The following is a 15,058-nucleotide window of genomic DNA, read 5'->3' as shown; positions in this document are numbered from 1 at the left end:
TTGGATGATGCAAAGTAACGAGGAGAAATGGCACCCGTTAACCTCTTGGTTGATGTCCAGTTTTCTTCTGCACTCAGAAGGATCCTCAAGAGGAACGTGGTAGACCAGAAGAAGAGTCAGGCACTGCTTTAGACACCTCTATTGGGGCCAAAGTGTCTTCTGAACACAGGTATCCAGGAGGAAAACGAACTCTAAGATTAAAGGCAGCCAAAGACAGAGTCTTCTAGACTTTGGGGACATGGTGGGCTTTAAGGGGGAGCCACGTTTGCTGAACCATTCTTTAAACCCCCAGACATTTAGGAGTAAGGCTAAAAACTTCATAGCCATGTAGTAACAATGTAGGAAAACAATGTTGGGATCATGGCACATTTCCTTTTGCCCAGGACAACTATGTTGTCCGAGTAGAATTTGGATTTCTAAAGGTCTCAAGACCCTTGTCTCCTGCTGTAGCTGGGGATGTGGATCCTAAAAACACCCTGGTAAGAGGTGGGTGGGCCATGCTTCAAACACAGATAAACTTGACTCCAAAATCTAGGCCCTTTTGACTCTTCTCTATCAACTTTTTCAGACGTTGGTCAGGCAAACTTATTCCCCAAGACCATGGAATTGGGGCTAAGATTTATGCAAAGGTCTAGAGTTCTTTTCTGGTCCCTCAGCCCTTCCTTCCCTCTACTCTACTGCTGGGGAGTTGTGGGCAGTTTGCTAAATGGCACCTCCATCTAGGCACATCATATATAATAGAGCAAACTCTCATAATGTGATAAGCTCCATTTTGATTTTATATGTTTTAAAGATATTTTTCTATCAATACCGTTCACAATTTAATTACAATAATTAACATAGTTTTCCAATATTATTTTTGCATTTGATTATATGCCTAAAAATGTTGCAGCTGTGTTTACCTATATGCCTTTTGTCTTAGGCTTCATTTAAAATGAGAAGTAAATATCATTTTTATATATAGCTTTCCACTTGCTTTGTGAACTATTTTCATAATACCCCAATTTAGCCACAAACATCCTCTGGTGTGCTCAGATCTCTCCAATTAGGGTGAGAGGGGGACAGAAATCAGGGGACAACATCGGTTCCCTGGCCTTAGCAAGCAACGATTCCAAGTGCTAGGAAAATAAATATATTTTTCTTCATAAAAACAATGTAGATAATTTGCAGTCCTATTTGGCGATCCATATCGTTGCAGGCAAAATGGAACAAAACAAAATCCTTTTTGGCGACTCTACCTTAGAGGAGGGAAAGAAAGCGAGTTACTGACCAGAAGCCAATTTCATCTTGACTGTTTGGAAAAAAAGAAAAAGACAAAGCCTTTTAAAGACCATATGGCACAATTCAACAGCAGATCAGAGCATTAGGCTGCTTCTCCACGTGGAGTCTGGGTTAGGGCTGGAGCACACTGTGGATGCCGCAGGGAGGAAGCGAGGTCGAATTGTCAACTCAGAGTCCTGCCTAGATCTAGACCATGGCAATTAGCATCTGGAACGTCAGACAGATTCTGGAGTCCAGAATGCAGAGGGTGCAAGTGGATAATTCAGATATACATAGGCAGGTCTGAGCACATTAATTGCTGACAGGGACTGATGATTTCAGTGAAGATTGAAGAGATTATTGAAACATAAATGAAGAAAACTCAATCACACACTTGGGAAACATATATAAATCATGCATCTGCCAGGAAGGCCGGGCATTAGAATGGTTTGTTTGTTTGTTTGTTTGTTTGAGGCGGAGTCTTGCTCTGTCGCCCAGGCTGGAGTGCAGTGGCATGACCTTGGCACACGCAACCTCCACCTCCTGGGTTCAAGCAATTCTCCTGCCTCAGCCTCCTGAGGAGCTGGGATTACAGGTGGGCACCACCATGCCTGGCTAATTTTTAGCAGAGACAGGGTTTCACCATGTTGGCTAGGCTGGTCTCCAACTCCTGACCTTGTGATCTGCCCGCCTTGGCCTCCCAAAATGCTGGGATTACAGGCGTGAGCCACCATGCCTGGCCCTAGAATGTTTTTGTTCTTAATGCTGTTTAGTCTTTCGGAAAGTATGTGTTTACCATGGCAATCTCAGGGTGATTTTCCATTGAACTGGGATGCAAAAAGAGACAGAGCTAGGGTTGGATTGCCTGTATGGGTGTGCAGGTTGGGAATTGAGAGGAAGAAAGGGATGGGAAAGGAAAACAGGAGATAGGAAGGGCAGCTCCTCATGGGTGACTTCTGTGCCTCCAGGCTTCTGATGTTGACATTTAACTAGCGTGCGCGCATGCACACACACACACATACACACACGCTTGGCCTCACAGGCACCCTGCTGGCCCTGGCCAACAGCTCACTTAAGGTATGACTATGGCACTTTCAACAGTGGTGCCAGGTATCCCCTTGCCTGCACATTCTAGGGGCCCTGGTGCCTGAGTAGGGATTCTCCCCTCCCCAAGATAAGGCCCCATGGTGGGGACATGAGACTGCTTGTGCTGAGGACATCCGGGTGTGTAGCTGCAGCCTCTGATTCCAATTTAGAAGTTAAGAGGACACTCTGGAATTCAACATTCTTGAGGTTCATATTTTGATTTTTATCATTACACTGCTATGTGATCCCAGGCAGGGTATTTTACCTCTTTGCACCTCTAATTCCTAACTGTATAATGGGAATTCCAGTTATGTAAGGGATTGTGAGAATTATATGAGATAATGTGTGCATGCTATTTTATAGGATGTCTCAGGGCCAGCGGTTATTATAATTGTTCATCACACTAATGCACCCAGATCCTGGGAGTGAGTCTTCTGATGAAATTCACTCATTCAGTCAAATACCTAAAACACTATTGTTTACCAACCTGGTTATAAACTCATATAGTAGCTGAAACAATTTGGAACATCATGAAAAGACAATGGAGACTTAATACACAGTATCCACGGGTGTTTCTCCAAGTCAGATGGCAACAGTGACTCGTAGACATTGCTATTTCTCTTCTTTTGGGATATTGCCATGCAAACACATAAACAAACATATTCAGCAGAAGAAGTGACTCTGTAGAGTGTTTCAGAAGTAACAGTTTATTAGGTAACTCAATTATTTTAGAATAACAATTAAATCTCAGTATTTAACAGTGTCAGAGAAGGTAATTTACCCTTTTCAACCAAATGTAAGTTAATTTGGTGCTAATTAGCTAAAACTAAAGAAACTGAATTGTCATATGAATATAGACTCCCACATGTCCAGCTACATATATCTTTTATATGACTGACCAGAAACATCTCTCTCTTCTTCATTGAGAAATTTATTTTCAGGTATTCATTTTTTAAAAAGTTTGGATTTATTATGTTTGCATTACATAATGTATCACAGTATTTAATTGCACAATTTTCTTGTAAACTGAATAACTTTTTTGCATTTAATACTGTATTTATCTTTCATTTATGTGATGGCATAAATGTTTACCAATAAATTTATTTGAGAATAAAAGTGAATCAATTTAAAAAATATGTGAATATTAGTATGAATAAATATTGCAAACTTGAGAATGACTAATTTTGCGAACAGTGTTCCAGGATATACATATGCAATTGATTGAATAGAATGCTCTGCATATAGTCTTGTTTTAATAAATTTAAGAATTCATATAGCCTAGAATTTAAAGAGCTACTTTGTATCCTTAGAGGTAACATGTGATCTCATACATGTCTCCTTTCTTTTTATATAAAAAATTGCTCTATGCTCATTTTCTTTTTCATTTATACTATATATGAGACATTCTTCCATGTCACTAAATGTCTTAACAATTTATATGTTAATACATAAATGATGTTCTTTAATATGGATGTAATATAATTTATTTTATTATTCATTTAATGACATTGTATTTCTAATTGTGGACTATTACAAACAATGTTACAAAAAACAGTATTCAAATATTCATGCACATGGGTAAATATTCCCCTGGGAGAGGTTGCTAGAGATAGAACTGGTGAGCCAAAGTATTTTTTAAATCAACATATGCAAATAAAATGTCCTTTAAAAACCTATTCTACTTACAGAAAGCAACACTTCATGATACGGTCTGATTTTTCACATTCTGTCTTTATATATTATAATTCTTTGAAAATTTTTACCAATTTAAAGAATGAAAATAATATCTTACTAATTTTCATTTGTTTTTGTCATCTGTAATATGTCAATTTATAGCCTTTATTTATTATTATTTAAAATTTACTAGGTGATTCCTTGTCCTTAATTGATATATAGAGTTTCTTTTTATATAGTTTGGATACACATCATATTGTGTATGTGTGTTTGTGTGTGTGTTTGTGTGTATGCACAGGTATATAACAAAGATGTTTCTAAAACTGAAAAATTGTTTTTTAAATCTTGAATTTGTTTTTCTTCATAAGAAACATTTACATTTTTATGTGGTCATATTTGTCATTTTTTTCTTTAATGTCTGTATTTTATACGTTGCATAAAAATGCCTGTCTTACCAAAATGTTACCTAAAATAGGCTCCATATTTTCTTTTACTTTTTTCTTATGGTGAGTCCTTTGTATCCTTGGGTTCCACATCTGCAGATTCAACCAACTATACATAAAATAATTTTTTTTAATTTACAAAATAAAAATAGTGATACAACAATTAAAAATACAAATAAAAATACAGTATAATATCTATTGACATAGCATTTACATTGTGTTAGGTTTTGTATGTAATACATGACTTCAAGTATATAGGAGAATGTCCCTGGGTTATATGCAAATACTATGCCACTTTATTTCAGCAACTTGAGCATCTGCGGGTCTTGTATCTTTGATGGTTTGGAAAGCAATTCTCCACAGATATAGAAGGACAACTCTAATTTCATTAGGGCATTATTTTTGCATTATATGAAAGAAGTCTAACTTTATCTTTCTTTAAGTGTAATGACAATTTTTTCAACACTACTCAGTTTACTCTTATTTGAGATTTAATAAATGATTGCTGTATTAGTCTGGATAGGTTAGGATACACTATGGCAATATATTAACTGCAAAATCTCAGTGGTTCCACATGGCAATGCTCTTTCTTCTTATGCATACCAATGTCCTTTGAAGGTAGCATGGGCTCAGCTCAGCACAGCTGCTTGGGAAGCCAGAGTAATGAAGGTCCCACCATCCTGAGGCTGCTCCAAAGGCAACGTGTGTTTTTCCTGGGCACAGCATTACAACATAGGTGAGGCTGAAGGATCACCAGGTTCTCTGAAGCTCAGCCTGGGAAGGGCTATCCTGGGTCCCTTCTGCTGACATTGCTTTGGCCAAAGCTAGTATGAGGGCCTTGCCTAATGTAGTAAAGACATAGAGAATAGGATGGAATGCAAGTTTTTCTCCAAATTCAATCTATTCTATTTCTAAAGTTGGAGAGTGAGAATTCGATAGCAACTTCAGATAGTGTGGAAAAAACTGTTCTCCAAATCTCTTTGATCCTGAGTTTTGAATAGCAAGTAGGGAGAATTCATATAACATGGGGTAATCCAAAAATTGGTTAAATCTATTCAGTGTCTGAATTTAGAAAGCAAGAATTGGAAAAGCAAAGGATACCTGTATTTGGTGAGTGTTGCTTTTTCTGCCAGAGCTATCTATAAAAATAAGTAAATGTATGCAACGAAAACCAAATAGAGTGATTTGCAAATATAATCATCAACGGTGTCCACACTTGATAAAATCTTTTTATTTAAAAACTTTAATTATGAATTTAAATTTCCAATAGTTTTCAATTACCTATTTGCAAATTCTTAAATTATACTTGAACCTGTATCTTTCATTCAATTGATAAAGAACTTTAACTGTATGGCAATGTGAAAATTGTTAAACTTCTTTGTGTGTTGGTTGCTTCATCTATAAAATGAGGATAATAATAATATGTCTACACTGGAGGAATGTTGTGCATATTCAATGAGTAAATATATACATATACATGGACCTGGCATATAGTAAGTTCTATTTAAGTATGAGCTATTATAATAGTCTCATAGGTGGTTATTTAAAAAGCTCTAGGTGGAAAATGATAGTTTTCAAAATTAAGCACCCCCTCTTCTCAACTTATATTCTATGTCTGATTGGATTTCCTAGAAGCTGAGCCTGAGACAGGATTCTTGGGCCAGTGGTTTCCAGGAAAATGTGTTCTCAGGTGAAACCTGTCAGAGACTGAGGACAGCAGGCCAGGGCAGGGGGAAAGCTGTGCAGCTGTGGCCTCAGCTGTGGCCCAACCTCAGCCTGACCCCACAGGGCCTTCTGGCTTGCGAATAGCATCGTAGAGTTATGCTACTTTGAAGCAAGAGGGCTGCCTTCAATATCAGTCAGTCATTGCCCTGTATCAGTCAGTCACTGGCTACAGGCTGTATTAGGTGATATAAGTAATATAGAGATGATTTCAAGTATGTGCGAGAATGTGCCTGGGTTATATGCAGATACTACACCATTTTATAGCAGGAACTTTAGCATCTGTGGATCTTGTATCTTCCAGGGTCTGGAAAGCAATCCTCCACAGAAAGAAAGCAGAATCTTCTGGGCATTTCTGAGCAAGTGGACTTCCTTCAGCTGAGCACAGTCCTCAGGAGAAGCGGACAGGTGCAAAGTGTTGGAAGCCAACACTCACAGCAGTTGGGGGTTGGAGTGCTCTGGCTTCCAACAGCATTGAAACCAACAGCATTGACTACAGCGAGTTTCTCAATCTTCAGAACACATCCCAGCCTCCCTGGGGGCTGCTAATGCACAGATTGCCGTTTCCCACTCCAAGAGTTTCTGATTCCAGAGGTCTGGGGTAGGGCTCGATAATTTGTTCTTCTAACCACCTAATGCTGTTGGTCCAGTGACCACACTTTGAGAAATGCTGTACTATGTTTTCTCATATATTTAAAAATTCTCACCTCATTTATGGTTTAAAACTTCTAGAACAATTCTGAATAGTTTTTGTAATAGTGAGCCTCACTTTCCTGTCTCTGCCCTTAATGGGAATGTCTCTAATGATTCACCTTTCATACGGGGACTTGTTGTGGTTTACTGGGCAATTCCTTTTGGCAGGTTAAAAAAATTCCCTCTGTTTCAAGCTAAAGCCATTTACCAGGAAGAGACGCTAAGTTTTATCAGAGGGTTTTTCCAGTAACTATTGTGATAATCATGGTTTTTTTTCCTATTTATTACGATATCAAACATGAAACTTATTTGAAGTCCTGGATTAAACGGTGCTTGTTTTCTATAATGTTTTGTTCCTTAAATGTACTGACAAATTTAATTTATTATTTTTTTAGGATTTGAGGTACAAGTTCATACGTGATAATGACTTACTGTTTTGTTTTCATTATTTCCTCCTTCCATCCTTTCTTGATATCCTTTTTATCTCTTGGTTTCAAAATTACACTAGCGTCATAGAATGAGTTGGAAATTAGCCCATTATTCTCCATGCCATGGAGTGTTTTGCAAAACATAAGAATGATCAGTTCCTTACATATTTGGTAGAATTTACCTTATAAAACACAGTAGGTTTTGTGTCTCTTCTGGAGTCCAGATACTGCTATGGACTGAATGTTTGTACCCTCTAAGATTCATTAGGTTGAAATCCTAGCCTCAAAGTGGTGGTATTAGGAGGTGGGACTTTTGGGAGGTGATCAGGCCAAGAGGGTGGAGCCCTCATGAATGGGATTAGTGCCCTTATCAAATAAGGCAAAAGGAGCTCTTTAACCTCTCCCACCATGTGAGGACAAAGTGAAAAGACACCATCTATGAACCAGGAAGCAGGGCCTCACCGGATGCCAAACCTGCCAGCACCTGGCCCTTGGACTTCCAGCCACCAGAACTGTGAAGAAGAAATTTCTATTGCTTATAAATACCCAGTTTACGGCATTCTGTTATAGAAGTGCCTAATAGGCTAAGGCAAATACTATATGGTATTTAGGATTGCTTCTGTATATTTTTAAGACTTTTTTATTTTGGAATAATAATAATTCACAGAAAATTTACAGAGAAAGTCTCCACATGCCCCTCACCCCACTTCCCCTAATGTTAACATAACCGTGGTCCATTTGTCAAAACTAAGAAATGAGGATTGGTACCATACTATTGACTGAATTACAGACATTACTTGGATTTTGTCAATTGTTTTACTAATATTCTATTATTTCTGTGTCAGATTCCAATCTGGATAACATGTTGCATTTGTTCATCACGTCTCCTTTGTTTTTCCTGGGCTGTGACAGTTTCTTATTCTTTTCTTGTATTGCCTGGCTTTGAATTTTGAGGAATTCTGGTTAAGTATTTTGTAAACTGTCACTAAATTTTGCTTGTCAGATGTTTTCTCCTGGGTTAGACTGGGCTTACAGGTTTTGGGGAAGAACTCTACAAAAGGGAAATGTCTTTCTCATCTCATCTAATAAATGGATATAGGATATCAACTTAACTTATTCCTGGCAATGGTAATCTTGACATCATGGTTAAGGGAGTACCTGCCAAGTTACCACAAGGAAAGTTTCTATTTTTTCATTCTTATACTCAATTCTTTGGAAGCAAGTCACGAAGTCCAGCTCACACTCAAAAATAGGGAAATTAAACCTTACCTTTTTGCATAGGGGATACGAACTTTAAAAAAAACAATCTTCTGAAAGGAGTCTTGTCTCTTGTAGTTCCATGTTTAATGCTATCATGTATTTGTTTTTATTAATATGAACTCATAAATACTCATTTTATTGGAATAATCCATTATCATATATTTTGTTGCTCAGAGTATTCCAGCTTTGACCACTGGGCTTTTTCAGGTTGACTTCTGTGTCCTTTTGACTTGCCCCCATCTATTATTATGTATTTTTTTTTAGCAGTTTCTTACTTTTGTCACTTCAAGATGTTCCAGACTTAGTTTGTATTTTTCTTACTCCATCTTTAGAATCAGCCATTTCTTTAAGGAGCTTTGGGTTCTTTTATTGGAGAGTGGTATTTGGAAACCAAGATCTGGGCATTAGGTATGCTCATTGCTACCGGGATGTCACTGCTTCTAGGCCCTCTCAGCTGGACAGAGGTATGACATACATGTGTGTAAATTAATCTACATATATCGACATATCTATAATTAGCTCTGTCATATTCACTATTTAATTTACAACCTCTTTTTTTGGTAGATGTTTGCAATCCATATTTTACTTACTGATTAACAGTTTTAATTTTTGGTAACAATTCATAAAATAGAAAATTGCAATTTTAATAGAGCTTTTCCAAATCTGGAATTATATACTCTCTCTGGAGTATACATTATTCATCAATGTCGTTTCTTCTTATATGTTCATTGGATTTACCAAAGGCTTATGTATTTAATCGAATTGTTTCAAATATAGTTTGGTTTTACTGATATAGCCTAATCTTTGTTTTTGTATATTTAGAATGTATCTTGCTACTTTTCCAAAACAACCATTAGTTCTAGTAATTGTTATATTCCTTGGGATTTTCTACATACATAATTCTGCCATCTAAAGAAAAAGGATTTTTACTTCTTTCTTTCTTTCTAAACTTCATAATTTTTGTTTCTTTTCATTTGTTTGTTTTAGTGCACTGGCTAGAACCTCCAGTATAATGTTTAAAAAGAAGTAATGAGAGTAAGCATCCTTGTCTTGACTCCAACATATTGATTAATTTTTGAATATCACAAAAAACTTCTTACTCCAAAACTAAATCTCACTTGGTCATAATGTAGTCATTTTATATATGTGTGTGTGTGTATGTGTATGTGTGTATATATATATGTATATGTGTGTATATATATGAATATACATGTATATGTATATGTGTGTATATATATGAATATACACGTATACGTATATGTGTATATGAATATACACATATATGTATGTGTATAAATATATACACGTACATATACATATATACACACATACATATACATGTATACATATACGTATACATATGTATGACTACATTACATACATGCACGCATATGTATACATATGCATGTGTGTGTGTGTGTGTGTATTTGGATTTAATTTGCCAATATTTTGTTGAAGAACTTTGAGTCGATGTTTATATGGGATATTTGTCTGTAATGTCTTTTGTAACACCGCAGTCAGGTTTTCACATCACATTTACTTATCTCATCCATTTGTTATTTCTCAGTCTGGATTCTAAAGCACTCATTGGCCTTTAGCACTGAGGAATTTCTTTGCTGCTTGCCTCCCCAGATGGAGACTTTCAGCTGACTCTGGCGTTAGTGTTCAGCTTCATCATTCCATGTGAGTCCTGAAGTACTCACCAAGCTCCTAGTATGCATCAGGCACTGTTCCTGGGCACTGGGTAGGAAGAGCAGAAAAACTGTCAAAATGAACATCAAACCCAAGCAGCCCTCAAGTTTAAATTTCAATATTTTCAAAGGCTCTTGGCCAGAATACTTGGTGCTCCCCTAACTGACGCATTTGGTGTTCTGCTGAACCTTTGTAATCCTTATTCATGTGACCTGTGTTATTCCACATCTCCAGTTCCATTTGAACCTCCAGCTTGGAAACAAGTATGACTTTATGGCTACTCAGGACTGTGTGTATTCACCCCTGCTGCCTGTACCACTTCCATACCTCTCTCATCCCAGGACTCAGTGCTAAGACATTATCCAATCATTATACCTAGAGAGAACACATACAAGCACTCAGATGAGTTAGGAAAGGATTTCCCCAACCCTGACAGCTGTGTAATTCATAATGACTTATTGATTGATTTAATAAATATTTATTGAGTGCCAACCACATGCTAAATACAATTATATATTGTATTAGATCCTGTGGAACCAATGATAAGTAAGAAAGAAAATATTCATGTTCTCCTAAAGTCTATATCCCATGGAACAAATTGCAGCTTCTAGTACTGCCCAGTGACATGAAGAAAGTACACAGACTGGTTGTGCTGGAGAGTGCTAGGTACTGGGGCCCACATGTGTAGATTCTCATGGAAAACCTCTAGGAGATACTTTACTTGAGACCTGAACAATCAAGAGCATATAAAATTACTCAAGTACCCGGGGAGAGATTCCTGATAAAGTGGAAAAGCTTTGATGTGGGAACAAGCATGGCGTGAAGGAGGGTGGGAAAGAAAGCCAGTGGGCCAGGGCACAGTGAGCACAGCAGGGAGTCTGTGATGTCAGGACAGTGGAGCAGAGGGCGGGGTCATCACACAGAGCTCCCAGTCAAGGGGCGGGGCTTGGTATGTATTCTGATTGAAAACCATTGGAGGGGATTAAGCAAGGATCTCAGATGAGCCTCTCCTTAGACATTTTAAAAGATCATTCTGGCCGGGCGCGGTGGCTCACGCCTGCAATCCCAGCACTTTGGGAGGCCAAGGCAGGCAGATCACGAGGTCAGGAATTCAAGACCAGCCTTATTGAACCCGTCTCTACAAACATACAAAAAAATTAGCCAGGCATGGTGGCATGCACCTGTAATCCCAGCTACTCAGGAGGCTGAGGCAGAAGAATCGCTTGAATCCAGGAGGCGGAGGTTGTAGTGAGCCAGGATCGTTCCACTGCACTCCAGTTTGGGTGACAGAGCGAGACTCTGTCTCAAAAAAAAAAAAAAAAAAAAAAAAAAAAACCATTCTGATTATGGTACAGAGTGAATTAAAGGAGAATTCCAGAACTGAAATCAGAGAAACCAGTTAGTAGCAACAACAGCAGTCCAGGTGAGGCAGCAACATGGCTTGGTCTGGATTTATTTCAGTGACTACAAAGGTCAACACTCTCTATTTTGGACATAGAACCAATAGAATCAAATGATGACTACACTTGGAGTACGGAGAATAGTAAATAATTAAAAATGACTCCTAAGTTGTTAGTTTGAGCAACTACATTGATGGTGGTACCATTTATTGCAATGTGGAAAACTCCAGAAGAAACAGATTTGGTGGTGGTGGGAGGCAGAAATTAGGAGTTCTGCCTTGAAAATGTTAAGTTTTAAGACCCATTAGACACTCAAGTGCATAGTGTATGTCAAGTAGGCAATTATATGCACAAATCTCGAATTCAGGGGACAAGTCAGAGCTGGGATGTAATTTCGAGTTATCCAGGAAGATAATATTAATTACTAGACTTGCCCTTGCACTCCCAAAGTCTAATCAAAATTGCTCTTGAAATTCATTTTGAAAAATGCCTTGCATGGGACTGACATACCACCTCTAACTAGTCCAGCACAGCCGTATTCTCCACTGATGTTCGAACATTTAACCATTTTTTTAATCTGTTTCTTTGATGAGGCCACACTGGCTTGTACTTAGCAGTCATATTGAAGGGAATATACATTTTAAGGCATTATAATCACATCCAGCATAAAAGTGTGATAATAGACATTTCAAACTAAAGATTTCCAAAACAGATGTCATGGTTTCTTTCTGAAAACTCTATCAAATTTATTTCTACCCGGTAACCCCATCTCAGTACATGGTATCCTTATTCACCTTGTTGCTCAAACAACCTAAGAATAATTGTCTCTGTGAGAGGTTTACAAAATGGTAAGATTGAAGGAGTGAAAGATTTTATTTCCTCTCCCATTTGTTTGGCGAGTGTGGTATCTGGCCTGCAATGTGGCTCCTGATGCCCCCATCCCAGTCATTCATACCCTTGTGCTGTCCCTTCCCACACTGTACCAGGGTTGGTCTGTAGGACAAAGAGGACATGGAGAGCTGATGGTATGTTACAAGATTAGATGTGAAAGGCCTGAACTTCCATCTAGGGTTCTTTCTCTTGGATCACCTGCTCTGAGGGAACCTGGCTGCCATGTCTTGAAGACACCCAGGAGGCTTCATATGGAGAGGCCCACGTGAGGAGGAACTGAGACCCCCACCCCCCCTGCACAAATACAACAGCCAGGAAGAACTGAGGACTCTAGCCGCCAGCCATGCGAGTGTGCCATTTTGGAAATGGATCCTCGGCCCTTCCAGGATGTTCATCATACAGATCTGACCGACAGCCTGACTGCAGCCTCATGGGAGACCCCAAGGCAGAGCCACCCAGCTAAGCCAGGCTTCCGACCCTCAGAAGCTGTGTAAGATCATAAATGCTTGTGGTTTTAAACCACTGAGTTTTAGAGCAATTTGCTATGCAGTGATATATAACTAATAGAGCAAGAGAATATGTCCATTCTACGTAAGCTGTGATCTCCAGCTCTGAAGGCGGCTTGATCTCCTTCCTCCCTCTCTCTCTCCCTCTCCCTCTTCATTAACAGTGAATTCACCACATTTCCACTAGTGTCACTGCTCCACTCTAACAGTGCCTCTCTCTACATGCATCCTTTTAAATCTGCAAAAGAGATAAGCATGTTACCGAGCTTCAGCTGAAAGGCACCACACTTGGGCTAGAAAGCAAACCACTCATCATGTTTACTCACCAGGCTCAATACCTAAGTTGCTTTCTATCCTTTTGATAAAAGGGAGAGTGATAAATGAATTCTGTTGACTTTTAAAATTAAAGACTATATGGGTTCCTTGAAATTTTTGGTAATTTCTGAAAATTAGCCCTATACTTCCAAAAGAAAGCATAGAATACACCAATTGGAAAGGAAATTGGAGATTATTTACTCTAGAGTGCTGGTTTCTTTCTTCAGGGAGAACCACTGTGGTCCACAGTGAGGGAGTCAGAGACCAACATGTCTTCGCCGATTGAGTGACAACTTGGATGAGACCTCAGGTGTTTCAATTCAGTGCCTTCACTATACCTCCCTGTGTACTGAGCACCACGGCAATGACCCATTGTCACTCACGACAGAGCTGACACTCCCAGAGCTCACCATGGGCCAGCGCCTTTCTACATTTGTTATATTCACAAATTCCCTCTCTTCTCATAGGCTGGTTAGGTCAGTACTAGTATTATTCCCATTTTGCAGGCAAGATAATGAGATACAGCGAGGTTAAGGGGCTTGCCAACATTTGCTCTTAGTTATTGGCAAGCCTGGGATTTGAATTCAGGCAGTCTGATTCCAAAGTCTGTCTTCCTGTATTTATTTTGTTACCTATGTACTTTCAGATAACTTCCTTTTCTTCTCCACATTCACACTACAGCAATATATTACAATCTATTCTCAAATACTCATCAGCAGTAAAGTCCTGAGTCTAGGGCAACTTTTCTCTTCATCATTAATACTATTATATTATTTGAAGTTGGAAACTGCCAAATTTTGCCTCAAACTTTTTTCCAGTGGGAATGAGACATTTATACATTTTTTATTGCAGGAAAAACAGTACATGTTATAGAAATACTATTAAAATATCTTATGGGAATTATTTTTAACTTCTTTCATATAGATGGGAATAGCTCCTGTTTTTTGGTTTTTGATGAGTACATCTCGAAGTGTGCAGAAATGCTTGTAGAGCCAGATTAACGCCAATTATAAAACACCTCTTAGGGCTGGTTCTTAAGCCAAAATCTGGATGTGATTTCATTACTACACCTTCATCTCCACTTAAAACTCTGCGCTCACCCATCAAAACACATTTTTGATACCAAGTTCTAATTATAATATGGTACTAATGGCCTTAAAAGAGGCTGAAATGACGTAAGTAAACTTGCTTCACTTTAAATTCAGGTCCGGGGGGCTCTGAGGCTAGTCTATAAATTCACAAGCCATCTGGACACGGTGATCATTTTGTTTCTACCTTCAGCTCCTTTGTGTCTCATTTAGTCATGAGCTTGGAGATTATTTTTTACTATTGGCTGAAGAACCGTCTACTTTGTAGTCCAGAGAGAATAAAGATGATTTCAGATTGCCTGAAGAACAGGAGTTAGTGGAAAGAGGCAACTCAGTTTCACTTTTGAACACATGGGAAAGATTAAGCCCTTTCTTTTCAAGAGGACTTGGTGTTGTTCCCTGACTCCAGCCTGATAAGCCAGGTTCCCAGGGACTTAAGATACTGTTGCTCTGAATATGCCTTTGAAAGAAAGCTTGGATTGAGTGGAGGTTTTCTTATGGAACTAATGTTTACGGAGAGTATCTCCGAGCCAGGTAACTTGTTAGGCACCAGGGAAACAACCGTGAAAACAAACCATTTCCTATATCCTCGAAGAGTTC

General features: G+C 38.6%; 1 long non-coding RNA gene across 1 annotated transcript in view; it reads left to right on the top strand.

Moving 5' to 3' along the window:
• The window catches only part of LINC00298 (long intergenic non-protein coding RNA 298), a 54,390-nt gene extending 45,977 nt beyond the window's left edge, over window positions 1–8,413 (top strand). The window contains exon 3 of the long non-coding RNA NR_015405.1: window positions 6,490–8,413. This is a non-coding gene — a long non-coding RNA (long intergenic non-protein coding RNA 298). The remainder of the gene's footprint in view (window positions 1–6,489) is intronic.
• The last annotated feature ends 6,645 nt before the right edge of the window (window positions 8,414–15,058 follow it).

Source organism: Homo sapiens, chromosome 2 (genome assembly GCF_000001405.40).
Source record: "Homo sapiens chromosome 2, GRCh38.p14 Primary Assembly".
Taxonomy (NCBI): domain Eukaryota; kingdom Metazoa; phylum Chordata; class Mammalia; order Primates; family Hominidae; genus Homo; species Homo sapiens.
Note: the sequence above shows the minus strand (reverse complement) of the source record. Positions and strands in the feature narration are given on the sequence as shown.